Source organism: Homo sapiens, chromosome 3, assembly GCF_000001405.40.
Source record: "Homo sapiens chromosome 3, GRCh38.p14 Primary Assembly".
Lineage (NCBI taxonomy): Eukaryota > Metazoa > Chordata > Mammalia > Primates > Hominidae > Homo > Homo sapiens.
In genome coordinates this window covers 179,340,140-179,367,264 of record NC_000003.12, presented here as the reverse complement: position 1 = coordinate 179,367,264, position 27,125 = coordinate 179,340,140, and the positions used below count along the sequence as shown (strand labels likewise).

The following is a 27,125-nucleotide window of genomic DNA, read 5'->3' as shown; positions in this document are numbered from 1 at the left end:
TCTTAACGATTCTGTCTTTTGAACATCTATTTAAAATTCTGCTGGGCACAGTGGCTCACGCCTGCAATCCCAGCACTTTGGGAGGCCAAGGCGGGCAGATCACGAGGTCAGGAGTTTGAGAACAGCCTGGACAACATGGTGAAACCTCGTCTTTATTAAAAACACAAAAATTAGCTGGGTGTGGTGGCAGGTGCCGGTAATCCCAGCTACTGGGCAGGCTGAGGCAGGAGAGTCGCTTGAGCCCAGGAGGTGGAGGCTGCAGTGAGCCAAGATCGTGCCCCTGTACTCCAGCCTGGGTGACAGAGCAAGACTCCGTCTCAAAAAACAAAGTTAAGGTTGGGGAGTTAAGGTTGGGTAGAATGCATTAACCAGGCATTAGAATTGCAATGTTGGGTTCAAGATTACCACTTGGGCACTGAAGTGAAGATTAAGGGTTAGAAGTTAGGATTTAGTACTAGTCTTTAGTATTATGGCTATGATGAGAGATCTCTATATTAAGACTTGCAAAAATAAATCTAAATAGGAATGCTGAAATATTTAAGGAAAAATAATTTATGAGTGATGCTTCCTAATTCTGAGACCCCAATTTGAAAGAGCAAGACTGTAAGACAACAGTTAATGACAGGAGGATATAAAACATGATGTTATGCAAAATTCCAATTGGGGAAAAATGAAAGCAAATAATTTTATCATGTGAACAGTGATGGGATAGTTTAAGTTATTTTTATCTTGTCCTCTACATATAATAATCTCGTACTACTATTAAAATCAGAAATAGTCTCAAGCAAATTAAATAAATATTATTTATAGTTCAAATTCCAGATACTTCTTTTTAAGTTTCTACAATTGGTGTGACTAAAATGCCAAAAAAAAAAAAAAGTTGAGGATGCAAATCTTATGAAACTCAATCTGCTGGCAGGAGTATAAATCGACACCAAGCACTTTGGAGAACTCTGGTGCTATATATTTACTAAAATCGAACATATTCTTAACTTGTAATCTAGCAGTTTTACCTCTAAGTACATATACCCATGGTTTACTGACGTCTGCATTACTGACGTTTTGGATTGGCCAGTGTTTGCTTGGGGGCCTGTTCTGTGTCAGAGCATGTGTAACAGCATCTCTAACCTCTACTCATTAGATGCCAGTAGCACAAAACCCCAATTGTAACAAAAAAAAAGTATCTTCAGATGCTGCCAAATATCCCATTGAGGTCAAAACTGTCCATCCTCCACACTGAGAACTACCTAACAAAAATGCATACATATGCATACCAGAAGGACATATACAAGCATATGCACAGTAGCATTCATAACTGAATACAGTAAATTAACCCAAATGCCCATCACTGTGAATAAATCAATTGTAGTATAGTCACAGATGGAATACTATACAGCAATGGGAATGCAATACAACTATGCTACGCACAATAATATGGACACATATGACAAACACGTTAAATAAAAACAAAAACAGATGCAAGAGCAGGTATTATATAATTCTGTTATATAAAGTTGAACAACCAGAAAGATTAATTTAGGGGGTCAGAAGTCATGATAAATGGATAATTTCTCCTTGGGAAGTAGGACAGAAGGGAAGTTAGAAGGAGGTAGGTAAGAGGAAGGTTCTGGGGTGTTCAGAATGGTCTGCTTTTTGATCTGGATTTTGAAACAGGTGTGTTAAATTTGTAAAATTTGGCCAGGCATGGTGGCTCAGGCCTGTCATCCCAGCACTTTAGGAAGCCAAACTGGAAGGATCACTTACGATTTATGTACTTTTCTGTTATGTACATTTCAATAACAACTTAAACAAAAAAGAACTTTCAAGCTTTGAAATAACTAGATAGTATAACACAATTTTCCCTCAAAGTAACTTCAGACTTTGGTCTTTATCACATACCTACTTCAGGTTTTCTCTAACTATCTTCTTTTCATGGAATAGCTCTTATAATTTTCTATTCTATAAGCAATATTGTTTTCTCAAATAACAATGTATGTGACTGTATTTCAAAACCTACAAAAAAAAAAATAACAACTTACGTCTTCCATATATTCTGGCTCTGATGCAGAGGCATCCCAACGATTATTGAGAATGAAAATATTAGGCTTGGAAAGCCGCTCATTCACCTTGTGAAAAAAGTGTTTTTCCTGAAAAACAAAAAAAACCCCACAGTACATTCACTATAATTTACATTTATAATTGAAATTTTATTTTAATGAGAAAGTCTGAACCATTTAAACAGTAATTAACACCACTGACAAAGGATCCCAAAGCACTCTATGAGCATTAAACTTTCAAAGATGAAAAAAACTGATAACTTTAAAAAATCATGTTATAATTTTGAATATTAGATTACCTAAACTCTGGAAAGTTTATTTCAGATGAGTCTGGCTCCAGACATCTGGCTAAATAATCTTCTAAGTCTGACAGCAGCTTAAAGTGTACACAGTTAAGCTGAAACCTGGAGTATATTCTGGTGAAGCTGGAAATAGCTGACAATACTGAAAATATAAAAAGCCTTGCCTGATAGATGGCAGAAGGAAGGAGTGGTTTATACTTTATTCAAGAGACTTAAATAAGCATCCTAAAATTTCTGGCACTCATTTTCCCTGAGACTGACAAATAACCAGAAGCTAGAACCATCAAGCCCTATACTGCTAGAGAAATCCAGGGAACTACACACTATAGAAAGACTAGAAACAGCCCTTCTGGTTCTATGAAAACACAAACCCCTTCATTCATGCCTGTTTTTAGAAGTTTTTTCTAATCCACGATATGGATTTCCCTTGCTTTTCAGAATTAAAACAGATACCATTTCATTTCCTACCATCGAAACACAATAATATGATTAAATCCTACCGTATTCATTAGTGTTGATTCAGAGTTTGCGACCAAAACAAAGACATCAGCATCTAGGCAAAACTTATCAATCCAGCTATCCAGCTCTGTAGTGACATCTGTGCCTGGACTAATGAGAGTGAAATAAAAATTGTATTATATTTCTTAAAAAGAAAATTTGGGTTACAGAATTTTTTCAGCTTTTATATATAATTTGAAGTTTAAAAACCAGGATTTCCAGCTGTCATCTGTAAGAAGTCTAGGAAATTTTAACTTAGTGATCTTTGACAAAGCAAATAACATGCTCAATATTTCAATCTTTTTAATGTTTATGCTTTAGATGGCTGAAATATAAAACTAGGCTAATAGATACTAAACAATGAGGGTTCAAGCAGCTATATCCAGTATGGCTCAGAGATGATTTAAGCACTTATAAACACAAATAAAAAAATATAAATTTAATATACCAACTGTACTAGGAGCTGCAGTGAAGAATTTGCCAACAATAAATATTTGTAAAAAGTTAAAAAATTTATTCATTTAAAATTTTTATGGGTATATATTAATTAAGTATACATATTTATGAGGTATATGAAGTATTTTGATACAAGCATACAATGTGTAATAATCACATCAGGGGCTGAGTGCAGTGGCATATTCCTATAATCCTAGCATTTTGGGATGCCAAGGCGGGAGTTTGAGTCCAGGACTTTGAGACCAGCCTGAGCAACATGACAAAACCCTGACTCCACATACACAAAAAAAAAATTAGCTAGGCTTGGTGGCATGCCCCTGTAGCCCCAGCTACTCTGGTGGCTGAGGTGGAAGGGTTGCTTAAGACTGGGAAGCGGAGTTTGCAATAAGCCATGATCCCACCACTGCACTCCAGACTGGGCAACACAGCAAGACCCTGCCTCCGAAAAAAAAAAAAATCACGTGGTAAACGAGGTATCTATCACCTCAAGCATTTATTCTTTGTATTACAAACAATACAATTATATTCTTTTAGTTATTTTTAAATGTACAATTAAATTGTTATTCAGCCAGGTACGGCAGCTCACACCTGTCATTTCAGCACTTTGGGAGGCTGAGATGGGGGGATTACTTGAAGCCAGGAGTTTGAGACCAGCCTGGCCAACATGGTGAATCCCCGTCTCTACCAAAAAATACAAAGATTAGCCAGGCGTGGTGGCTACTCAGGAGGCTGAGGCACAAGAATGGCTTGAACCCCGGAGGGGGAGGTTGCAGCAAGCTGACACTGCGCCACTGTACTCCAGCCTAGGTGACAGAGTGAGACTCTGTCTCAAAAAAATAAATAAAAATCAATTATTTTTCACTACCGTTACCCATTTTGGTACCAAATACTAGATCTCATTCATATTTTCTTGTATCTATCCAACTGTCAATCTTGACTGACTGGGTCATAGATACAATCTGGCTATGAAATAAAGCTAAACTAGTTAACATTGTATTTAAACCAAATATCTTGGTGTCATGAACATCTTCTCTCTCCTCTGTTTCTATGGATTACTTGAAACACTCATTTCCATTTAAAAGGAAAATCCATTATCAAAAACAAAATGGAGCCAGGTGAGGTGGCTGGTGTGTGTCTGTAATCCCAGCTACCCAGGAGACTGAGGTGGGAGAATCACTTGTACCCGGCAGGCGAAGGTTGCAGTGAGCCAAGATCGTGGCACTGCGGCACTGCACTCTGGCCAAAAAAAGTGGCCATCCTTAAAATTTCTTGAAATGGAATCAGAGTGATGAATTGGTGCTTTTATGTAACTTATAAAATAAAACCAATACCATATCTCTTCCTTAATCTAGCTAATGAGAACAAAATGGCAACTGAATGTTGTAATTTTTTATACCATATGCTAAAGTAAGCAGTATTATACTATTAAATAAACTTCCAGAGAAAATGCAATCCACATGTAATTTTACCTGTCTACTAACACCAGGTCATCTCTCAAGAGGGCACATTTTGCTTTTGGCCAAAACACACGTACAAGACAGCCAGCTTTCAAATCTTTGTCCATGTGAAGGGCATGGGCCAGTTGATTAACTGTCTAAAGCAGGAGGAAAAGAAAAAAATAAACTCCACTTGTAATAAAATTCAATAAAAATTAAAAACATTGTGGTACATTTATTTTAGCAAAACAGGTATATAAAAGGTAAAACTCTGAAATAAAACCTTCTGAGCAATCTTGAGAACCTGAATTTTTAAATTTCCAAGTAGAAAAAAAATGGTTCCCTCAAAAAGAACTCCAGCAACAGAATTCTAAGCAACTCCTGATACTGATTTTGTGAAGTATATAAGTTCTGGAGTCTCTGTTCTTTTTGCCTATTTGTATTTTCTGATTCTACTGAAATAAATGTGTATCACTTAGTCATATGGAAGAAATGTCATTAGAAGAAATGTCATTATTAAAACAGGTTAAAATTACATAGCTTTTAACACCCCATAGAAAGGAATGAAATCAAGTCTTTTGCAGGAACATGGATGGAGCTGGAGGCCATTATCCTAAGTCAATTAATGCAGAAACAGAAAACCAAATACTGCATCTTCTTGCTTAAAAGTGAGAGCTAGGCCGGGGGCGGTGGCTCATGCCAGTAATTCCAGCACTTTGGGAGGCCGAGGCAGGTGGATCAACTGAGGTCAGGAGTTTTGAGACCAGCCTGGACAACATCATGAAACCCTGTCTCTACAAAAAATACAAAAATTAGCTGGGCATGGTGGCACGTGCCTCTAATTTCAGCTACTCGGGAGGCGGAGACAGGAGAATTGCTTGAACCCAGGAGGTGAAGGTTGCAGTGAGCCAAGATCACGCCACTGCACCCCAGCCTGGGCAACAGAGCAAGACTCTGTCTCCAAAAAAAAAAAAAAAGTGAGAGATAAACATTTGGGTACACACAGAAATAAAGATGGGAACAATAAACACTGGGAGCTACTACAGGGGTAAAGGTGGAAGGTGACAAGAGCTGAAAAACTACTGAATGCTACATTCACTATTTGGGTGACGGGCTCAGTTGAAGCCCAGACCTATCCATCACACAATGCATCCATGTGATAAACCTGTACATGTAACCAACCCCTGAATCTAAAATAAGGAGGAGGAAAAGAGTGTGAAGAGGACTGGAAGAGCATGGATCAGGAAAATGAGAGATGATTTCTTTAAAATAACAGCATACTTTGAGACTCTGAAGTCACGAGAAGTTTGAATTTTGATTTGCTAAAAATCTTAATCACAAAACAACAGTGATTCCTTCATTTATATGAATTAAAAGCTTGATTAGTATTTTCTTTTCTTTTCGAGACAGTGTCTTGCTCCATTTCCCAGGCTGAGTGATCACGGCTCACTGAAGCCTCAACCTCCCAGATTCAACCAATCCTCCCACCTCAGCCACTCGGGTAGCTGGGACTACAGGTATGCGCCACTATGCTTGGCTAATTTTTGTATTTTTTGTAGAGATGGGGTCTCACTATATTGCTCAGGCTGGTCTCAAGCAATCCGACCAGCTCAAGTGCTAGGATTGCAAGCGTGAGCCACTGTGCCCGGCCTTGAATAGTATTTTCATAAACATCATCTCATTTTTCTAATAACTAATCTGAAGGGTATGCTTATTCTAAAACTTACAGATTGAGTTACCTGATTTACATCAAAGAGCAAATTCACAAAGAAGAACCACCCATGACTTTACCAAGAAATAAAATAGCATGGATCATCAAGCACTGAACTTTTGTGTTTGTGGAAGAGATCTTTAGACTCAAGAGAAAGTAACCACAATGAGAAACAGTGCCTTAACTAACTGCTTTCAGTCCAGAGTCAACATTTTGCATCCTAATTTGTTTTTCCTTTTATTTTTTTTTTTTTTTGGCTGAAGGAGTGGCACTGAATTGAGAAATTTATGAAAGGTAGGGAATTGCCATTGGCCCTCATCTGATAAAGTTAAAATATTTATTCATAAATATACTTACTACATAATCCTGAGGTAAGACAGTTTCTAAAAACACAGATACATATCAAAAACAGATGCCAGGGCCCAATTTCTTAAGCAATTCTGTTTCAAAAAGACAAATCGGAGGCCAGGCATGGTGGCACAAGTCTGTAACCACAACACTTTGGGAGGCCAAGGTGGGACAAATTTGAGATTAAACAGCAATGATACACGATTAAACAGCAATGATACACTTCAATAATGTTAGTCTCAGCCGGGCGTGGTGGTTCACGCCTGTAATCTCAGCACTTTGGGAGGCCAAGGCAGGTGGATCACCTGAGGTCAGGAGTTCAAGACCAGCCTGGGCAATATGGTGAAACCCAGTCTCTACTAAAATTACAAAAATTAGGCAGGTGTGGTGGTGCATGCCTGTAATCCCAGCTACTCGGGAGGCTGAGGGAGGAGAATCACTTGAGCCCAGGAGGTGGAGGTTGCTAGCCAATATCGTGCCATTGCACTCCAGCCTGGGCAACAGAGCAAGATTCCATCTAAAAACAAATAAATAACTAAAATAATGTTAGTCTCACTGGAAGGGTAGATTTAAAAAACTTGTTAATTCTAATATACCTTTAAATTAAGGACAAGTTTTATTTTTTCACTAATTTAGTTATGAAGTGAAAAAAAAATTTAGAGTACTCAAAATACTTAGTGATGGCTTTCAAAGTTAGAAATATTAACAGTGCTTTTTGGCCGGGTGTGGTGGCGCATGCCTATAATCCTAGCACTTTGGGAGGCTGAGGCGGATGGATCACCTGAGGTCAAGAGTTCAAGACCAGCCTGGCCAACATGGTGAAACCCTGTCTCTAATAAAAAAAAAAAAAAAAAAAAAAAGTACGAAAATTAGCTGGGCATGATGGTGCGCACCTGTAATCCCAGCTACTCAGGAGGCTGAGGCAGGAGAATCATTTGAACCCAAGAGGCAGAGGTTGCAGCGAGCCAAGATCACGCCACTGTACTCTAGCCCGGGTGACAGAGTGAGACTCAGTGTCAAAAAAAAAAAAAAAAAAAGGCCGGGTGCAGTGGCTCACGCCTATAATCCCAGCACTTTGGGAGGCCGAGGTGGGTGGATCATGAGGTCAGGAGTTTGAGACCAGCCTGGCCAAGATGGTGAAACCCCCATCTCTACTAAAAATACAAAAATTAGCCGGGTGTGGTGGCGCACGCCTGTAGTCCCAGCTACTTGGGAGGCTGAGGCAGGAGAATCGCTTGAACCCGGGAGGCAGAGGTTGCGGTGAGCCGAGATTGTGCCATTGCACTCCAGCCTGGGCGACAAGAGCGAAATTCCGTCTAAAAAAAAAAAGAAAAATATTAACAGTTCTTTTTATAAGATGTCAGCGATGCAGACATCTTATAAAAATGTTATTAAAGAATAAGTTCAGGACATTGTTTCAGGTATATTATTCTGCTAAAGGTTAAAGATCATACCTTCACACTCTTTTTTTCATCTGATCCTTCTGTCATAAGATAGGCTTTATCTCCATCAGTTCCTTCAACACTTAGGAAGCAATTGGTTATATGGCCAATCCCACTAGGGAGAACTTTATCCCACAACATTGCATTGATAACAGAGCTCTTCCCACTGCTTGTCCTGAAGAATATACAAAATCATGAAAAACAAAACATAACAGTAAAAAAAGTAGTTCTTTCACTGGGTCTAATATCAACTTTTTTAAAATCCAAATTTTGTTAAGATTTCTTAAGACTGCATTTTTATGAAAAGATTAACCACTTGGCTTACACAAATACTAGCAATGTACATTTCAGAAAAAATAAAGTGCAAGAAGACAAATCCCACCTTTCTCACAGTAGTATCCTCAACTTTTCTTTCTTGCTTTTTGTGGCAATTCGAAATCACAGGTCAAAATTCTGCAACACTACTCCTATCACAAGATGGGGTCTAATATCCCATCTCCTTAAATCTGGGCTGGTTTGTGACTGCTTCAACAAATAATGCACATCAGAAGTGACAGTGGGTGGCCAGGCGCAGTGGCTCACGCCTGTAATCCCAGCACTTTGGGAAGCCAAGGTGGGTGGATCACTTGAGGTCAGGAGTTCGGGACCAGCCTGACCAACATGGTGAAACCCCATCTCTACTAAAAATACAAAAAATTAGCCAGGTGTGGTGGGGGGGCCCCTGTAATCCCAGCTACTCAGGAGACTGAGGCAGAAGAATCGCTTGCACCCAGGAGGTGGAGGTTGCAGTGAGCCAAGATCGCGCCACTGCACTCCAGCCTGGGCGACAGAGCCAGACTGAGTCTCAAAAAAAAAAAAAAAAAACAAAATGAGTGACACTGGGTGACTTCCAAGACTAGGTCATAAAAGACAATGCAGGTTCTTCTATCTTGTTCCCTGGAATATATGCACTTGGAGCCTTGCCATGTAAAAAGTCCACTTACCCCGAGTCTGCTGTGCTGCAAGGAAGTCAAGCTAAATGGAGAGCTCTGAGTAGTGCTCTACTCAACAGTCCTAGTCTTTGAATCATTCCAGCCCAGGTCCCAGACATGTGAGTGAAGATTTAAGATCATTTCAACCATCAGTTGTTGAGCCACCCCAATCTTCACATCTTCTCAGTTAAGGCTCCAGAGTCCATGGAGCAAAGACAAGACATCCCCGCTGTGCCCTATCTGTATTCTTGACTCACAGAATCAGTGAACATAATAAAATGGCTGTTAAGTTGCTAAGTTTTGGGTAATCTGTTATGCAGTCATAGGAAAAAGGACACTTTTGATGGCTCTGAAATGCAAAGAACTCACACTCACTTCAGGGACTTGCTTTCCATTAAGTCAACCCAAGTCCCAGATATCACTGGGAGCCTTTTGGTTCACTGCAAAAGCATCCTATCTTTTCGGCATATGTTTTACCTCTTTCCTTTAGCATAAGAGGGAAAGAACTTTTCTTTATGTTATGGATATCATTCCCAACTCCCTTCCCAGGGAACCTTCTTGCCTTCATTAGCTCAACATTGGCTTCTATTGCCAATATACCACATCCTGCAAGGATGCCTAGGATCTCTCTTAAGATTTATCTTTCTGGACATTTCATGAAGCCTTGCAGTGATCCTCAAGAGTAGTTCTGAAACCATCCCCATAGGGTTAACAAGAATTACATGCCGGGGTCTGGACAGAAATATGGCTGTAGCTCATTAATAATCAGGCTGCACTTTGGCCCACTTCCTTGTTGCTAAATGTCATGTAACACCAGATACTGACCATTTGCACCCCCATTCTTTCTATAGACAGGAGCTCTGACATTAGAATCGTAACACTTTTAAGGATAGCTTAAGATGTTTTTTGGGCCCCCAGATCCAGCAACCAGTTTGAAGACCCCCCACAGAGGAATGATATGGATCAGCATGCGAATACAGCCTAGCCTTATTATCTCCCTGTCCCATGACTTCACTCTGCAAGTTGCAACCAATCAACGACCTCTACACTTTGGGTACTCCAAAAACCTTAAAAACCCTAACCTCAAATTCCTTGGGGAGATGGATTAAGGTTCCCCCCCATCTCCTCATTTGGTGACCCTACGATTAAACCTCTTCTCTGCTGCAACCTGGTGTCTCAGCATATCAACTTGCTGCATACATTGGGTGATGGACCTCCTATAGTTACAGTTTGGGTCCCTCCACCCCATATAAGAATCATCTGGGGAGCCCATTAATGATGCAGATTCCTCAAGTGAACTGTGAACCTAAAGAATCAAGACTCTGGGGATGCTCTTGGGATGATTCTTATGCATACTAAAGTGAGACACACTGTCACCCTGCCTTCCCAAAACGAACAAAAAAAACAACTGTGGAAATAGAAACTTTTTCTCCTCTACTATCAAAATCAACACAGAACACTTCATAACTAGATATATGGGGATTTTTCCACATGCATGAAGTGGTTCTCCAGCAAACACCAACTGGGTGTCCTATCATTCATTTCTACCTCTTCCCATCTTGGTTCAATGTCAGAATAGCTCACAGAACTCAGGGAAGCACTATACTTACATTTACTGGTTCATTATAAAGGATATTGTAAGTGACACAGATGAGATGCCTGAGCATTCATGCCCTCTCAGCATGCCACTCTCCCAGCGTAACCATGAGTTTAGTTACCTGGAAGTCCAATCATGTTCAAGAGTTTTCATAAAGCCTAATTTTCAGCCTGTCCTCCCCCACCCTTCCTGGAAATGGGTGGGTGGGAAGGAAAGTTCCAGTCCTCTAATCCCCTGATCACTTAACCTTTCAGGTGACTGGTCACCCTCTGAGGTTATCTAGGCACCCCACCCTAAACCACTCATTAGCATAAATTCAGTTGTCATTAAAAAGGGCTCATTATGAAAACAAGATACTCCAATCACTCAGGGAATTCCTATGGTTTTAGAAGCTCTGTGACAAGAATGGGACAAAGATCAAATATATTTCTTTTTATACCATACCAATGCTTTCTAATTTTCCTTTTACCTGGCTGGCATTTTTTTTTCTTGTTTGAGATGGAGTCTCCTTCTGTGGCCCAGGCTGGAGTGCAGTGGTGCGATGTAAGCTCACTGCAACCTGCACCTCCTGAGTTCAAGTGATTCTCCTGCCAAGGCCTCCCAAGTAGCTGGGATTACAGGAGTGCACCACCACACCCAGTTAATTTTTCTATTTTTGGTAGAGACAGGGATTCACCATGTTGGCCAGCCTGGTCTCAAACTCCTGACCTCAGGTGATCCACCTGCCTCGGCCTCCCAAAGTGCTGGGATTATAGGTGTGAGCCACCACGCCTGGCCCCTGGCTGGCATTTCCATGGATAGTCCCTCTTCCTCTCCCCAGTGCTGTCATTGTTTTTCATTACACACTCTCCCTGGATCATCTCATCAACTCCTGTGATCTCAATCACCAACATAAGCCAATAATTCCTAAATTTCCTAGAATTCTCCCTAGTCCAAGTCTCATATTTCCAACTGCCTTTTTGGTAACTATACTTGAATATATATAGTTGTATTAAACACACACAATTTCCTGCCTATACTACTGTCAGAGGTGTTTGAAGCAGAGCAACTCCATCTTGAACAGGGGCTGGTTAAAATGAGGATGAGACCTACTGGGCTGCATTCCCAGGAGATGAGGCATTTTAAGTCACAGAATGAGATAGGAGGTTGGCACAATATACAGGTCACAAAGACCTTGCTGATAAAAGAAGTGGCCAAATCCCACCAAAACCAAGATGGCGATGAAAGTGACCTCTGGTCGTCCTCACTGCTCATTGTAATATATATATTATATGTATATAATACATACAGTTTAGATGCCATGGCAACATCCAGAATGGATGCATATATGGGCTAAAAAGGGGAGGTACCAGCTGGGCACGGGGGCTCACACCTGTAATCCCAGCACTTTGGGAGGCCGAGGTGGGTGGATGGCCTGAGGTCAGGAGTTCGAGACCAGGCTGGCCAACATGGTGAAATCCCATCTCTACAAATAATACAAAAATTAGCTGGGTGTGGTGGTGCACTCCTGTAATCCCAGCTACTATAGGGAGGCTGAGGCAGGAGAATCGCTTGAAGCCGGGAGGCAGAGGTTGCAGTGAGCCAAGATCACGCCACTGCGCTCCAGCCTGGGTGACAAGAGTGAAATTCTGTCTCCCAAAAAAAGAAAAAGTGGGGGACAGGTACCAACCCTCAGTTCTGGGAATTGCCTACCCGTTACCTGGAAAACTCATGAATAATCCACCCTTTGTTTGGCATACAATCAAGAAATAACCATAAAAATACCAAAGCAGCAGTTCTCGGGACTGATCTGCCTATGCAGCAGCCATTCTTTATTCCTTTATTTTCTTAATAAACTTGCTTTCACTTTATGGACCCATCCGGAATTCCTTCTTGCGCAAGGTCCAAGAACCCTCTCTTGGGGTTAGGAGTGGGGCCCCTTTCTGGTAACATTATCACAACTGCCTCCTACCCCTGTTCTCATTCAATTCATTCTCCCCATTATATCTAAGGTTATAATTGTAACATCCAATCCTCTCAGGACTATTTTCCAAAATAAAAGAATGCAGAACGCCTTACCATGATATATTAATACAAGGTCTTTTACAATCTGACTTTTGCTTACAAAGTCTCTTCTTTTGCTATTGTTTCGTAACACCTTAAATTCAACTACTTGAGTTCTCCAAACACACTGTGGTCTCCCTACCCCTTTCTATTTATGGCTTTCTGCAAGAAATGAGCTTTTGGACCTTTTTCACATCCAAAGCTATACCTATTTCTCATTCTCAGTAGGACAGTTGAGTCATCACCTTCCCAGGAGGCTCTTCCTTCCTACTCCACCCTAATCTGAAGTAGGATCTTTTTAAATGGAGCTGTCTCATGCCAGACTCTGTGTAAGGCCCTGAGAATATGGTCAAATGGGAGAAGCAGAAAATAAAAACATAAAATAAGAGCTTTGTGAAAAGTGTTGAAAGACATTAAGAGGATGCTTTAACAGAAAATAACTGAGAAGGAATAATTTAGATAGGGTGGTCAGAGAAGGTGTCCAAGGTAGTAACATTTAGGATGAAATATGAAGAATGAGAAGGCACTAGACGTAGCTACAACAAGGAAAGGTGAGTTGTAGGCAAAGGGAATTGCAAGGGCAAAAGCCCTACGATGGGAAAATAGCTTAGAAGGCCTATGAAGTTATTTAGTAAATAAATGCCTCTGTTGGTACACAGCACAGATAGCTGAATAACCAGTTATGGAGCTAGTCATTTGTCTTTGCATATAAGCTGTGGCAGAGATCACCCTATCACTCTGGACTGTTACACCAATGTACGCCTCCTACTCTCCCTCTAGGAATGATGGAGTTGAAAATTTTGGAAGACGTACCTGATCACTGCCTTTTTCTCCCCGCCATAATCCAGATAATTGTCAAACTTAAGAAAGACACTAAAGAAAATCACCTCTAAATTAGCCAGGTACAGTGGCTCACGCCTGTAATCCCAGCACTTTGGGAGGCCGAGGTGAGTGGTTCACTTGAGGTCAGGAGTTTGAGACCAGCCTGGCCAACATGGTGAAACCCTATCTCTAATAAAAATATAAAAATTATGCTGGGGCCAGGCGCGGTGGCTCACGCCTGTAATCCCAGCACTTTGGGAGGTCGAGGTGGGCGGATTGCCTGGGCTCAGTAGTTCGAGACCAGCCTGGGCAACATGGTGAAACCCCATCTCTACTAAAATACAAAAAAAAAAAAAAAAAATTAGCCAGGTGTGGCAGCACACGCCTGTAGTCCCAGCTACTAGGGAGGCTGAGGCAGGAGAATTGCTTGAACCCGGGAGGCGGAGGTTGCAGTGAGCCGAGATGGTGCCACTGCACTCCAACCTGGCAACGGACTGAGACTCTGTCTCAAAAAAAAAAAAAAAAATTTAGGCTGGATGCGGTGGCTCACGCCTGTAATTCCAACACTTTGGGAGGCCAAGGCGGGTGGATCACCTGAGGTCAGGAGTTCAAGACTAGCCTGGCCAATATGGTGAAACCCCACCTCTACTAAAAATACAAAAATTAGCCAGGTATGGTGGCACACGCCTATAATTCCAGCTACTAGGGAGGCTGAGGCAGGAGAATCGCTTGAACCCGGGATGTGGAGGTTGCAGCGAGCCGAGATTGTGCCACTGCACTCCAGCGTGGGAGACAGAGTGAGACTCCCTCTCAGGGGGAAAAAAAAAATGCTGAGTTTACTTGGGAATCAAAAATAAAGATTATAATCTGGAATGCATGGAATGGCATACCAGTGCATTCAGTGAGGGTAAGAGGGGTTTCTATTAGCAAAAAGAGATTTACATAAGCTGCCTAGAAACAAGAGTTATTTGGTTCCAGAGGTTCAACGCCAGTTATTGTCAGTTCATTGGCGGAGATGCCATTACTGGGCAAGAACTCTCCTGAAAACATTTTATCTGAATTAAGGCAGTCCTAAAGTATGTTTATTGATAAGTCTTATCAAAGCAGGAGATTTGAAAGAATTTCTAGAAAGTCCTTGGAAATAGTTATCTCAGACAAGAGCCTCTTTCCTTCTAGGCCTGTCTAGGTATGACAAAAGTGATTTCATCCTAGCTTCTGAAACTTTCACATAATCAAGTAAACTTAAAAGAGTAAAACACAAAGTATGCTTATCATTTATCTATATTTCCATTCTTAAAACTGTCTACAAGCCAATTCTTAGAGATGAGAATCATTAAAAGGTAAAAATATGATTGACTTTCATAAAGCTTCATTTTATACCAGGAGGTAAAATGCACAAATTCTTTCACATGCTAACAGCTTTAACATTCAACACAGGCAGAAACTTGCGGGGCTGGGGGAGGATGGGAGAAATATTACTTGTTGAAACATCAGACACAAAGCTGATTCCTGGAAACTAATCTTAGAAGTAATAATAAATAATTACCTGCCAAAAAATGCCACCTTCATGTGTCTCCGAGATAGCACCTCACCAATGATGGAAAGCTTGTCTTTATATCCTTGCATTTCTACCAGATCATCTTCAGTGGCTATTCGATCAAGTTCCGGATTCTTATATGTTGCTGCAAAATTGAAATGGCATTAGAAAAGTGATATAAATGAATATTAAGTTAGTTATATAATGGAATACCTAAGATTGTATGTATTTTTGCTTTATGTTAACATGCCACCCACAGCATCTCAATGTTTGGTAAAAGGTGCATACTCCGTGGCAATGGGTCACAAGAATCCCGCCCAAAAGAATTTCAAGAATATTAAAAGTTGCAAGGGCACAGTCAAAAGTGGACTTCTAGGTCTCAAACATACAAGCTACCCTTGAGACAAGAATACATTTCTAAAGAGAGAAACTAGAACCTAACACTGACCTATTATTGTTCCAACCTGACTGAATGGATCTTCAGATCTTGAGCTCAGAAGGGGGAGCCACATACTGAGAGAAAAAAGTGAGGTTTGAATAGGAGCCCCTCAGAAATTAAGATACAGTGCAAGGTCTCCAAGCTAGGAAAGACCTTGCTACTTTACCACGTTCTATCTGCTTCCCCCAGGGATGAGGTGAAACAGCTCACTTAACACAAAGACAGAGAAGAAAGAGAATTACAGGTTGTATCCTATCTACAGCCATACCACCCTGAATGCACTCGATCTCATCAGATTGTATCCCACTTTCACTCTTATCAGGTTTAGGGTTTAACCGCACATCCCAGCCCTCACCTCTCCTCCATGGCTGGAGGTAGTTGAAAAAGCCTGGGTTTGAAAAATAGAAAAATCTTTCAGTTTTTTTTATAACTCAGGAATAGGAGATAACCTGATGTTTACATTCTTATCACCTCTTTTTGAAGGTAAAGACATGAAGATTCATGTGGGCGTGGGGGCTCACGCCTATAATCCTAGCACTTTGGGAGGCCGAAGTGGGCAGATCCCTTGAGGTCAGGAGTTCATGACCAGCCTGAACAATATGGTAAAACACCATCTCTACTAAAAGTACAAAAATTAGCTGGAAATCACTTGAATCCGGAGGCAGAGTTTGCAGTGAGCCGAGATGGTGCCACTGCACTCCAACCTGGGTGACAGAGTGAGACATCGTCTCAAAAAAACAAAAACAAAAACAAAAAGATTCATCTGGCTATCTGAATGACCCTAATTAGAGACAAACACTGCCACTTAAAACTTCTCCAGTGCACATCCAATTAAGCTTCTCATATCTCACCATACTTTTCTAACGCATTAATAAAATATGTGCAATTTGGTGAATAACGGACAGACTGGTTTAAGTATCATTACATTTATTTTTGCTTTTCATTTTATTTTTGCTCTTGTATGTTTTTCTTGATTTATTTGCTTTGTCTCCTTTTTGCAACATTTTTACTGAGGTTCTAAAACCTGTACAACTGAATTCAGATTCTAAAGCTGTCATTTCACTAGTGCCTAGCATGATGCATGATCTATAACACGTACAATACACATTTAACTTCATTTTCACTTCCTATTATTTTTAGAAAAAAAAATATTTTTAAAAAGTCAACTGTGCCAGCTCAAATTATTTCCTAATTGGAAACAAAGATTCTATACTACTATTTTTTTTTTCTCATTCAGCATTGAATTGTGTCAAGTCTGGTGCTAGGAATACAATGAATCCCAGGCTCCTGCCCTAAAGGAGCTCAAAATATGGTAAGAGAGGGTTGGGAGAGACATGAAAAAAAAAGTTTGATTCCCAATCTACCAAAGGTTTCCCCACTGTCGCTGGAAAAATTTACAGAATCCCTCCCTTTCCATTGTATAGTTGAGAGGTGCATAATCTTTTTTTTTTTTTGAAATGGAGTCTCACTCTGTCACCCAGGCTGGAGTGCAGTGGGCGACTTCGGTTCACTGCAACCTCTGCCTCCCAGGTTCAAGCGATTCTCCCTCCTCGAGCCTCCTGAGTAGCTAGGATTACAGGCGTCTGCCACCAGGCCCAGCTAATTTTTGTATTTTTAGTACAGACAGGGTTTCACCATGTTGATCAGGCTGGTCTTGAACTCCTAACCTCAGGTAATCTGCCGATCTTGGACTCCCAAAGTGCTGGGATTACAGGTGTGAGTCAGGGCGCCTGGCCGAGAGGTACATAATCTTAAGAACCAGAAAAAATTTCAACAGTTATCTCCAAAGAAGGATTCCTGGCCGGGTGTGGTGGCTCACACCTGTAATCCCAGCACTTTGGGAGGCCAAGAGAGGTGATCATGGGGTCAGGAGTTCGAGACCAGCCTGGCCAATATGGTGAAACCCTGTCTCTACTAAAAACACAAAAATTAGTCAGGCATGGTGGCACGTGCACTGTAGTCCCATTTACTTGGGAGGCTGAGGCAGAAGAATCGCTTGAACCCAGGAAGTGGAGGCTGCAGTGAGCCAAGAACATGCCACTGCACTCCAGCCTGGGCAACAAGACAAGACTCTGTCTCAAAAAAAAAAAAAAGAAGTATTCCCTAGTAAGACATGACATTCCTCATCACCTTTAACAGTTATGAAACTCCTTTTTCCCCCTTTCCACTGCAATTCAGCCTCATTTGAGAGAATGAGATATGTCTGAGGTCTTGGCTTAACTGCTAAATTGGGGAGGAGACAAGTATAATGGTTAAATGTGGACTGCCTGATTTTTTGTCTGGGCACTTATTAGCTGTGTGATCTTGGGCAAACTGTTTAACTTTTCTTTGACTTCGTCTCTTCATCTTTAAAATGACAGATGGTGGTGATGAAAATTAAATGAACTATTAACATAGCTATTTCTCATCACCTAGTGGTGATGAAAATTAAATGAGCTATTAATATACTAAAGTTCTTAGTTGTTATTAATACCATTTAATTTTCCCCTTCTGGAGGTTAGAAAGGGGTTTTATTCATTATGGTACTTCTCATAGTATACAGTATAATGCCCTATACATGTGTTCAATAACTAACGTTGAAAGAATAAGCACTTTTATATATTTTCAACAGTAATTACTTTAAAAACTTAAGAAGAACTAACCTTCAACAAAATGTGATCCTTCAGTAACAAACTCCAGTAACTGGTCAAAGATTGCAGTAATCGCCTTCTTAGCCAGCACAAAGTGCTTCAGTGGAGAAACAGGTTCTGCCATTATGCTACTAGAGGGAGATAAAGTTAGAAAAGCACCAACTAAAGTGGATGATAGACATGCAAACTGATGACACACCAGTGACATTCATCAACTCCCCAATGAAATAAATTATGCTGGCAAAATGTTTTTAGGTAATTCTTTTTTGGGAGTGTTCTAGTCAGACAGTTAGAGACGACTTTTGAATGATATTTCACTAAAATAAGTGAAATCTATTAGCCAAAATCTTGGTTGCAATTTCTACTCAATTTCCCTTTGGTGAAGACGAAACTAATTGTGACTAAGTTTGTCACTGCATGTGACTCTAAAGTACATCAGGGAACAGGGTTAGTGAGGCGAAGCCAAATTCACACACAATAAGGAAGTTACTAAGTTTCTCAACCTGAAGCTCTAGGTGAGTAGGAGTGGATATGCAGAGTGAGGAAATAAAATTCTAAGATCACAATGTGAGGCTGACATTTAGAAAGGTAAGGCTTCAAGAGGGCATTAACGCTTCCAGCCAAAGTACCAGAAACTTCAAGGACTATAAGTTTAAGAAAGCATAGGTGGTTTCTCAAGAAAAAGACACCAAAGACAAACAATCACGGTCTAATCCTGGTGTGTACATGGAAAGGAACAGTGGCCATAAAGAAGGCGGATTCTTCCAGAGAGTCAAGAAATGACCGCGCGAAGGAGCTGCGTGGGAAAAGCCGGGTGGGGGTAACGCCCCGGTCCGGCCGGTGTGAACACCTGCCTTAGAAAAGGCCTCCCACCTTCCCACACCGGGCGCAGGAGTCAGGGCCAGAGCCCACCCCCGCCCCGCGCACGACCGTCTAGGTCCGGATCCCCCAATCCCACCCCCGAGCACGGCCTCGTGGGCTCCGTGGGCTCGACTCGGCCGCCAGCCCCGTTCGCCCGACAGCTGGCTCTCTCCTTTCCCACAGGACCGCGGCGGGCGGCGCCTCGTCACACAACGCTGCATGCACGACTCCCGCCCCCGGTCCCCAGTCGCTCGAAGGTCACTCCGAGCGTCGCAAACGTGCTGTCGAGGCAGCCGGCACTCACAGTCTCCGCTCCAACTATCACCCGGCAACAGCAACTCGGCCACAGATGCCAAACTGCCTCATCTTCCCGAGAAGTTAAAGGCGGAGAGGAGGCAGGGGGAGTGGCAAAGGGCGGTCACTTCCGGCCTCTTGCCTCCTCTGTTCTGTTTGGCTCCGTGGCCGGAAGCGCATCTATGCCAGGCGCCATTTTCCTTAAGGGCAGAAGGCAAGGTTTGTTGTGGGCAGAGACTGCTACCAGGAGAGTGGTTTTCCGTTCCCCCTTCCAACTTCTTCCCCTCCCTTCTCCCCTCAAAGTGTCCAAGTATCTGCCCAGCCTAGGCTTAGCTAGCTTCCAATGATGGTGGTGGCTGACGCCTATAATCCCAGCACTTTGGGAGACCGAAGGGGTGGGATATCTCTTAAGCCCAGGAGTTCGAGACTAGGCTGGGCAACATAGGGAGGCGCCCCCCCCCCCGCCCCCGACCCTCTTCCTCCTCCCCGTCTCTACAAAATTAAAAAATGAAAAATTAAAAAAATTTTAAAAACTTAGCGAGGCGTGGTGGCACACACCTGTGGTCCCAGCTACTTCGGAGACTGAGGCGGGGGGATTGTTTGGGCCCGGGGCTGCAGCGAACTGTGATTTATCGTGCCACTGCACTCCAGCCTGGGCAAGAGAGCGAGACATTTTTTCAAATAAATAAATAAATAAATAAAAGAAAAGAAATCCAGATCGTATTACTTTCCGAACTTAAAAAGCTTTCCAGGCCGGGCGGGGTGGCTCACGCCTGTAATCCCAGCACTTTGGGAGGCCGAGGCGGGCGGATCACAAGGTCAGGAGATCGGGAGCATCCTGGCTAACACGGTGAACGCCCGTCTCTACTAAAAATACAAGAAGTAGCCGGGCGTGGTGGTGGCGGGCGCCTGTAGTTCCAGCTACTCAGGAGCCTGAGGCAGAGAATTGCTTGAACCCGGGAGGCGGAGGTTACAGTGAGCCGAGATCGCGCCACTGCACTCCAGCCTGGGCGACAGAGCCAGACTCCATCTCAAAAAAAAAAAAAAAAAAAAAAAAAAAAAAAAAAAAGCTTTCCAACAGCTTGCCATTATACTTAAAATTAAAGCTTCGGATGGTAACCGCCCAAGGAAAGCCTTCACCTTGCCCGCTGACTAGCCAGAACTGATACAAGACAGGGGGATTGCAAATAAAGACTTAGTCACGCAAAGCCGGCTGTATGGGAGACTGGAGTTTTATTATTACTGAAATCAGTCTCCCCGAGCAGCACTGGGGAGCAGAATTTTTAAGGACAATTTGGTGGGTTGGGGGAGGCCACTGAGCCAGGAGTGCTGATTGGTCAGGGATGAAATCGCAGGGAGTGGAAGCTGTCTTTCTGCACGAGTCAGTTCCTGGGTTGGGGGACACTAGGTCAGATGAGCCAGTTTATCGGTCTGGGTCGTGCCAGCTAATCCATCAGTTCTGAGCATAGGTAGTCTCAAAGGGAACATTTACTCTGTTTGAATTTTAAAAATCATGATGGTATCCTTTTATTAGTTCTGTACTTAATAATTATATTTAATATAATTACTGCATTTTAAAGCAAGAGTGACATATTACAGGCTATAAATTATAGCACGGTAATTAAATGTTTAATATAGTAAGTAATAAGAAATTTAATCCATTGCTTTTGTGTGTGTGTGGAACACACATATTACCAAAAAGCCAGGAGAGTAAACACAAAGAAGGAAAAGAATTAAAATATAAACGCTAAAACCAACATAGATATTAACAAAAACTAACGTTATTTGAAAGAAATTATCAATTTGATGTATCACTGCCAAATCTGTTCAAGAACATAAAAAATGAAAGGACACAAATTAAGGGGAGAATAACTATAGATATATATATAAATGCCAACAAATTGAAAAGCTTAGATGAAGTATAAAATCTGGGAAAACATCAAATACCAAAATTAGACCGAGAAAAAATAGAAAACTCGAATAGGCTAAGTTTCCCACATATTCAAAACTAGCCAGGTCTAGATGATTTTCGGGGTAACTTTCTATTACATGTTTAACGAAAAGATTAATCTTGCCGGGTGCGATGGCTCACGCCTGTAATCCCAGCAGTTTGGATCATGAGGCGTGTGGATCATGAGGTCAGGAGTTCGAGACCAGCCTGTCCAATATGGTGAAACCTTGTCTCTAATAAAAAACACAAAAATTAGCCAGGCGTGGTGGCAGGTGCCTGTAGTCTCAGCTACTCCAGAGGGAGAGGCAGGAGAATCACTTGAATCCGGGAGGCGGAGGTTTCAGTGAGCCAACATCACGCTACTGCACTCCAGCCTGGGCGAAAGAGCAAGACTCAGTCTCCAGAAAAAAAAAAAAAAAAAATTCACACTTATGGACTACAGAGGCAAACATAGGAAATATTAGCTACCTGAGGCCAACGTTGTATTAGAATTATTTTTTTATCCAAGTAGGGTTTTCCTAGGAATACAGAAATCATCAAACAGAAATCAATATAATCCATAATACTGACAGACCAAAGGAGGAAACCCACATTTATCTCAATACATGCAGAAGAAGTACTTGCTAAAGTTTAATATTTATAATAAGTCCTAACATTTATTTTTTATTTGCTATAAGCAAAGCTCTAATATTTATTATTTTTTAAATTATCAACCATTTCTCTTTATTTCCCTTGTTCTCTGCCTATACTTACCCAACTCTTAATATTTAAAGCATGTTGTTACTATTAAAGTATGTGATACTCTTGGAGGAACAAACGATGGAATGTAATTGTGTAAGACACAGATTTACATGCTAATTATGTCCATGGGGAGTTGGTATATGATAAAATTGGTATTATGAATCACTGGGTAAGATAAATTATTTTATCACATTGGAGAAATTGGTTCAATTTAATTAACAAAAATAAAGTTTGAATCATATCTATATACAAATTCAGATGGGTATAAGACCTGAACATGAAAAGTAAAACCAGGCCGGGCGCGGTGGCTCAAGCCTGTAATCCCAGTACTTTGGGAGGCCGAGGCGGGCGGATCACGAGGTGAGGAGATCGAGACCATCCTGGCTAATCCGGTGAAACCTCGTCTCTACTAAAAATACAAAAAAATTAGTCGGTTGTGGTGGCGGGCGCCTGTAGTCCCAGCTACTCGGGAGGCTGAGGCAGGAGAATGGCGTGAATGCCGGAGGCGGAGCTTGCAGTGAGCCGAGATCTCACCACTGCACTCCAACCGGGGCGACAGAGCAAGACTCCGTCTCAAAAAAAAAAAAAAAAGAAAAGTAAAACCAGAAAATTAGGAAAAAACGTAGGAAAATAATTTGGGGACATTTTAGTTGGAGAGAATTTTGTAAAATTAACAGACAGGAGGTACAATGTAAAGGGAAAATGTGATGAATCTATTACATTAAATTTAAGGATTTCTGTTCAAAAAAGTCATCCATAACAGACACATAGGAAATCTATTTTTTGCAGTATATATTGCCAACAAAAATCAATAGTTAAAAATAAAGAACTTCGGAAAATAGAGCAGAAAACCCAACAGAAAAGCAGACAAAGGATAGGGAGAAGCAGTTCACAAAATGAAAGTTAAAATGACTAATAAGCATATTAGATAGTCTCAACCTTGTTAGTAATCAGATTATGCAAATTTAAACAATAATAATGTACTACTTTATGACCTTAAGATTTACAGGAAATTTAAAAGTTGTATGATATTGTTGATAAGCCTGTGCGGAAACATGATCTTGCTGATGGGAGTATAAACTTTAGTCATTCTGCATATATTTTGGAAGTACTGAATCACAAGTATATAAAAAACTGACAAGAACGTGTATGGTAGGTAGCATTATACAAAAGGCAAATACTTGGATACATGAAAGTCAATTTGATATTTAATTGAATTGTAGTTCAGAAAGGTGACAGTTTCCTGCATTATATGGTAAATCTCTTTGAGGTCAAGAACCATAGTTTATCTTTGTATTCCTGAGCACTTGGCTTGATAGTAGATATTCCATAGCTGTTAGTTAAATAGAAGCATAGTAAAATAGTCTTTTTGTTTTGTTTTGTTTTTTTGAGGAGTCTCGCTCAGTTGCCCAGGCTGGAGTGCAATGGCACGATCTAGGCTCACTGAAACCTCCACCTCCCGGATTCAAGTGATTCTCCTGCCTCAGCCTCCCAAGTAGCTGGGATTACAGGCATCCGCCACCATGCTTGGCTAATTTTTCTATTTGTGTAGAGACAGGGTTTCACCATGCTGGCCAGGCTGGTCTCGAACTCCTGACCTCAGGTGATCCACCTGCCTCTCAGCCTCCCAAAGTGTTGGAATTACAGGCGTGAGCCACCACGCCCAGCCTGTAAAAATGGAAGTTTTTAAGGTTAAAAAAAAAAAAAGTTTTTAAGGAAGGGGGTGTCCAATCTTTTGGCTTCCCTGGGCCACACTGGACGAAGCATTGTCTTTGGTCACACATAAAATACACTAACAATAGCTGATGAGCTCGAAAACAAAACAAAACAAAAAATTGCAAATAAATCTCATAACATTTTAAGAAAGTTTACAAATTTGTGTTGGGCCGTGGGTTGGACAAGCTTGTTTTAAGGAGTTGCAGAACCCATGGACTAAGAAAAACTTAGTAACATTACATCTACTGTTCATGGTCATAGTCACACAATTTATTACTACTGAACAGGGATTACAAATCAGAGTCATATGCTTTTGTCCTTTATTTTTTAATATGTTATTTTCTCTAAGTGTTGGTATGACATTCCATAAAAAACACAGAGCACATTTTAACTTTAAAGAAAATTATTTGAAGAGTGGTTGGGAGTTTGTCATGTTTATTCTACCTTAAAAAGCATTTGACTAATGATGTTAGAAGATCATTTTTCTGAAGTATAAACAAGCAGTTTTGTCTAGAATTCTGTATTCTCCAATTTCAGTCATTCATGTATCACCTACCCAATTTTTTCCATATCCATGTATGACTATTATTATTTACTTCATATTTTTCACCAATTTGCTTTTCTTAAAAAGTTAATTTTTTCCTAAGTAAAAATATTCGTGAATCCAAGTGTTATGCCAATTAAATTTTATACCACGTAATTTACAATGATGAAAGTAAAAACTACATACCATATACAATTATTGTTATTATTATTATTAGAGACAGGGTCTCACTCTGTCTGCCCAGGCTGAAGTGCAGTGGCATGATCAATAATAGCTCACTGCAGCCTTGAACTCCTGAGCTCAAGCAATCCTTTCACCTCAGCCTCCCAAGTAGCTGGGACTACAGGCACACACCACCATACCTGGCTAATTTTATTTTAATTTTTTTTTTTTTTTTTTTGAGACAGAGTCTTGTTCTTTCACCCAGGCTGGACTGCAGTGGCGCTATCTCTGCTCACTGCAAGCTCTGCCTCCCGGGTTCGGGTTCACACCATTCTCCTGCCTCAGCCTCCCGAGTAGCTGGGACTACAGGCGCCCGCCACCATGCCCGGCTATTTTTTTTTTTTTTTTTTTGTATTTTTAGTAGAGACGGGGTTTCACCATGTTAGCCAGGATGGTCTCAATCTCCTGACCTCGTGATCCGCCCACCTCGGCCTCCCAAAGTGCTGGGATTACAGGCGTGAGCCACCGCGCCCAGGGCTATTTTAAATTTTTGTATAGGTGGGATCTCACTATGTCGCCCAGGCTGGCCTCAGGTGATCCTCCTGCCTTGGCCTCCCAAAGAGCTGGGATTACAGGAGTGAGCCTGTGGTGACACCCAGGACACAATTATTTTTACATGTTTTTCACTTTTGAGTCTAGACTATATCTCTAAGGTTCATCCCAGATCTAATATTCTGTCATTCTAGGTTAGGTCCTTCTTCTTCGGCATCTTAGTTGCTCACTAACAATGGATGAATGCCATAAGGAATTTAACCAGAATATTGTAACCATAAAAAGTTATTAAGATATGTGCCATAATGTTATGCTTAAAATCTAAAACAAACACATTCAAAATTTACAAAATCAGCACAAACTGATGCCAGGCAGGTATATATAAAATATTTACACGGTATACAAGCAAGTGATGTGGGATATGGCATGAAGGGAGTAACTTATTTTAAGAGTTTGGAGAACAGACGGAAGGAAGAATCAAAACAAATCTACTCTATCTTAGTCAATATAGGCTACTATAACAATGTACCATAGACTGAGTGGCTTATAAACAACAGAAATTTCTCACAGTTCTGGAGGCTGGAAGTCCGAGATCAAGGTGCCAGTATGGTTAGGTTCTGGTGAGGCTCTCTTCCAGGTTGCAGACTGCTGACTTCTCATTGTATCCTCACATGGAAAACAGGTGAGCGCTCTCTGGGATCCCTTTTCTAACGGCACTAATCCCATTCATGAGGGCTCCACTTTCCTGACCTAATCATATACCAAAGGCCCCATCTTCTGATATCATCACACTGGGGATTAGGATTTGAACATATGAATTTTGAGGGGGACATGTTTAGTTCATGGCAACTTACCTTGTTAGTTGGGAAAACTTTAATCTTTTGAAACTTTCTGAAAACCCAAATAAGATGAGTTGTAAAGATAACAGTAATCAGCCATAGAATATAATTTCAGAAATAATGTATTTAAAAAAAGATGAATAAGGCCGGGAGTGGTGGCTCATGACTGTAATCCCAGCACTTTGGGAGGCTGAGGCAGGTGGATTACTTGAGCCCAGGAGTTTGAGATCTGCCTGGGCCTCTCTTATAAAAGAAAATGAAAAACAGAAAAAGACAAATAATGCCACTCTGGACATAACCAAGAATGAACAGGGTAGGCAGGAAACGTGGGAATTCTGTATTCTCAAATTTTAGCCAACCAAAATTCAGAAGAGCATGGTGAATAGCCTTAAAAAGAAAAAAGAAAATTACCCACCAGAAATTACATTTGCTGAATATGATTCCAATTTCTGATTTCAGCTTTACTTTGAAGAGTAAAGGTGAAAATATCAATAATTCAACTGCAGTATTTTTCAAGTAGTGGATACACTCTCCAGACAAGATATTAAAAACTAGAAAACTTTGAGTTTTCATTCAAAATGTGTACTATTCATTACATTTTTGGAATGTAATTCATTCAGCTCAATATTTCTAGCAAGGGGAAAAAAGATGTCAGGTTAGATTCATTTGCCTATTTAAAAACAAACAACAAAGAACACACTTTTAAATGTTCTGTTAATTTCTTTTAAAACTCTCTAAATAATCACCCTTCATAAAGTATGGGAATAAGATTAGTAGATACTATTCTTTTCTAGCAATGTAAGAAAATTTCTTTTTAGAATGAATAAATTACTCTTCACAAATTTATTTTGGGTTCAGATAGTTACCACTTTAACACCAAAGTTACTAAGGAGAATTAACTTAATAAGGAATTGGTGGTGACTGATGCTTTAGTATGGAAATTCGTTATCCAGAAAATTATTTTTCAAATCACTAGTACAAAGCAAATTCCAGCAACTCTAATAGTCTTAAAATCTTAGTTTTTAAACTTACAAACTGGACATATAACTTTATATAAACAGGTAAACCATATGTGAAAACTTTTAGCTTTGCAAATTTGTTTTAAATCATGAATGTACACATTTCTTAGATGTGAATGTTGTCTTAAAAGATTAATTTATGGAAAGCCAAATTAAC

General features: G+C 40.7%; 1 protein-coding gene across 3 annotated transcripts in view, besides 3 other annotated features; it reads right to left on the bottom strand.

Moving 5' to 3' along the window:
* MFN1 (mitofusin 1) overlaps positions 1-19,556 on the bottom strand; it is a 47,228-nt gene extending 27,672 nt beyond the window's left edge. Inside the window, exons 1-7 of one of the 3 annotated variants that reach the window (NM_033540.3) lie at positions 19,455-19,556; positions 18,302-18,420; positions 15,230-15,365; positions 8,263-8,425; positions 4,783-4,907; positions 2,860-2,968; positions 2,040-2,147 (exon numbers count right to left, since the gene is read on the bottom strand). In NM_033540.3, the coding sequence (NP_284941.2) occupies positions 2,040-2,147; positions 2,860-2,968; positions 4,783-4,907; positions 8,263-8,425; positions 15,230-15,365; positions 18,302-18,413 (753 nt within the window). In that variant the 5' untranslated portion in view covers positions 18,414-18,420; positions 19,455-19,556. Of the gene's footprint in view, positions 1-2,039; positions 2,148-2,859; positions 2,969-4,782; positions 4,908-6,030; positions 7,336-8,262; positions 8,426-15,229; positions 15,366-18,301; positions 18,421-19,454 lie in introns of those variants that run through there. The other 2 variants (XM_005247596.5, XM_011512963.4) reach the window with 2 other exon arrangements.
* Positions 18,765-18,984: an enhancer, noted in NCBI's record as "active region_20866". NCBI's record gives its function as "activates an Ori minimal core promoter by ATAC-STARR-seq in GM12878 lymphoblastoid cells {active_cell/tissue: GM12878}" and the evidence as "EXISTENCE:reporter gene assay evidence [ECO:0000049][PMID:35858748]".
* Positions 19,105-19,264: a silencer, noted in NCBI's record as "silent region_14917". NCBI's record gives its function as "represses an Ori minimal core promoter by ATAC-STARR-seq in GM12878 lymphoblastoid cells {active_cell/tissue: GM12878}" and the evidence as "EXISTENCE:reporter gene assay evidence [ECO:0000049][PMID:35858748]".
* Positions 19,318-19,847: an enhancer, noted in NCBI's record as "H3K27ac hESC enhancer chr3:179065206-179065735 (GRCh37/hg19 assembly coordinates)". NCBI's record gives its function as "activates a minimal SCP1, AML or CMV promoter by ChIP-STARR-seq in naive and primed H9 embryonic stem cells {active_cell/tissue: H9 hESC(naive and primed)}" and the evidence as "EXISTENCE:reporter gene assay evidence [ECO:0000049][PMID:30033119]".